The sequence below is a fragment of the Homo sapiens genome, chromosome 8 (genome assembly GCF_000001405.40).
Source record: "Homo sapiens chromosome 8, GRCh38.p14 Primary Assembly".
NCBI classification, from domain to species: Eukaryota; Metazoa; Chordata; class Mammalia; order Primates; family Hominidae; genus Homo; species Homo sapiens.
The window spans coordinates 106,215,100-106,217,805 of NC_000008.11; the positions used below are offsets into that span (position 1 = coordinate 106,215,100).

At 49.6% G+C, this 2,706-nt stretch overlaps 1 pseudogene; it reads left to right on the top strand.

Annotated features, from left to right (window-relative positions):
* SLC16A14P1 (solute carrier family 16 member 14 pseudogene 1) lies at positions 468-2,121 on the top strand (annotated as a pseudogene).

A 2,706-nucleotide genomic window follows, 5' to 3' on the forward strand; every position in this document is an offset into this window, starting at 1 on the left:
TGAAACCCCTCACTCTAAACGAGCGAGAGAGAAAAAATAAGGGACAATGAGTCACATTAAGTCCTCTTTGGCCAAAAATATTGCAGTGAGGGTCTGTTTCATCCCTTCTCTCCCATCTCAGAGAAATGGAGGTTACTGCTAGTCTCACCTGCATTCTGGATTCAGTTTCAGGACCTTTCCTCCAGTGATAAATGTGCAGTGCCTTAGGGGAACCTCAGCCAAAGCTATAAACTTCAACTGGCCACCACAAGAGTGTGCATGTGAGGTGACTGCATTTTTTCCCCCTGCCAAACCAGAAATAGCCAGTATAGGAATCAACCAGCATGAAGATTGGAAATTGCTCCGATTGGAAGGAAGCCCAGCTTAGGTTTGGGCGCCTCCAAAAGCTCCCTTTTTAAAGCCACCTGGACTGAGGCGTCGAGCTTTCAGCTCCACCAAACTCTCACCTGGCCTGGCAGCGAGCGGCAGAAGAGCGCGGGAGCCCGGTACCCAGCGCACCGAGCCCAGTGGAGAGCTGAGCCGCAGGCACCCGCGTCTCCAGGATGATAGGCGACATTGCAAGAAATCTCTACACCTAGCAGCTCAGGGGGCTCCAAGCAGAGCAGCAAGTTCGAGGATCTGGATGCGGAGCCGAGTAAGGCGCAACCCAGCGGGCCTCGGGCCGCCCTTTCAATGGCTCGTTCATTAACACCTGTGGGTGCCTCCAGACTGTGATCATTGCAGGGCTCGTCAACTCCCTGGGCTGGGTGTTGAGTGCCTACGCTGCAAACGTGCATTTTCTCTTCATTACTTTTGGAGCGGCAGCTGGCCTGGGCAGCGGGATGGCCTATCTGTCAGCGGTTGTCATCGTGGGTGAGCAGGTATTTCCGAAGAGACGCGCCCTCGCCCAGGGCCTCAGCACTAAGGGGACCGGATTCGGTACTTTCCTAATAACTGTGCTACTGAAGTACTTGTGTGCAGAGTATGGCTGGAGGAATGCCATGTTGATCCAAGGCGCCGTTTCCTTAAACCTGTTTGTTTTTGGGACCCTCATGAGGCCCCTCCCTCCTGGGAAAAACCCAAATGACCCAGAAGAGAAAGATCTGCGCGTCCTGCCCGCGCACTCCACAGAGTCTGTAATGTCAAATGGACAGCAGGGAAGAATAGAAGAGAAGGATGGCGGGTCTGGGAACGAGGAGACCCTCTGTGACCTGCAAGCCCAGGAGTGCCCCGATCAGGCCAGATCATGTGCGCTTTCCGGTTCTGAAGACGGTCAGCTGGCTCATTATGAGAGTCAAGAAGGGCTTCGAGGATTGGTACTCAGGCTATTTTGGGACAGCCTATTTACAAATCGAATGTTTGTAGCCTTTGTTTTCTGGGCTTCATTTGCATACAGCAGCTTTGTCATCTCCTTTATTCATCTCCCAGAAATCGTCAATTTGTATAACTTATTGGAGCAAACGAAGGTTTTCCCTCTGACTTCAATTATAGCAATAGTTCACATTGTTGGAAAAGTGATCCTGGGCGTCATAGCTGACTTACCTTGCATCAGTGTTTGGAATGTCTTCCTGTTGGCCAGCTTCGTTCTTGTCCTCAGTATTTTTGTTTTGTTGTTTTTGTTTTTGGTTTTGGTTTTGGTTTTGGTTTTTTTGAGACGGAGTCTCGCTCTGTTGCCCAGGCTGGGGTGCAGTGGCACGATCTCGGCTCACTGCAAGCTCCACCTCCTGGGTTCACGCTATGCTCCTGCCTCAGCCTCCTGAGTAGCTGGGACTGCAGGCGGCCCCCACCACTCCAGGCTAATTTTGTTTTTGTATTTTTAGCAGAGATGGGGTTTCACCGTGTTAGCCAGGATGGTCTTGATCTCCTGACCTCGTGATCCGCCTGCCTCAGCCTCCCAGAGTGCTGGGATTACAGGTGTGAGCCACCGCACCTGGCCTCCTCAGTATTTTTAATTCTGCCTTTGATGCATATGTACGCTGGCCTGGTGGTCATCTGCACACTGACAGGGTTTTCCAGCGGTTATTTCTCCCTAATGCCCATAGTGACTGAAGACTTGGTTGGCATTGAACATTTGGCCAATGCCTACGGCATCATCATCTGTGCTAATGGCATCTCTGCGTTGTTGGGACCACCTTTTGCAGGTAAACTGTCTGAGGTTTTAAGAGTTCATAGTGCATATAGATACGGTGTGTTATGTTAAAAAGTCCAAGATAAAGAAGGAGGTTTCCAAATAAAAAATAAGATCCTGAAGTGTATCCAGCAAAAAAACCGAACTGTGTTAAGAAATCTACATGGGCCGGGGCGCTGTGGCTCACGCTAGTAATCCCAGCACTATGGGAGGCCGAGGCAGCCGGATCACGAGATCAGGAGATCAAGACCATTCTGGCTAACATAGTGAAACCCTTTCTCTACTAAAAATACAAAAAATTAGCCAGGCGTGGTGGCACGCACCTGTGGTCCCAGCTACTCGGGAGGCTGAGCAGGAGAATTGCTTGAACTCAGTAGGCAGAGGTTGCAGTGAGCCCAGACAGCGCCATTGCACTCCAGCCTGGGCGACAGAGCAAGACTCTGTTTCAAAATAATAATAATAATAATCATAATAATAAAAGGAAAAGAAAAGAAATCTACATGGAGCTAAATCATCTTGGGATATGAAATTTACCTGGTTTTCACTGAAGCCGTCTAATCTTTAAAAATTCCATGAAATAAAGAACTAGGTGAAATTGA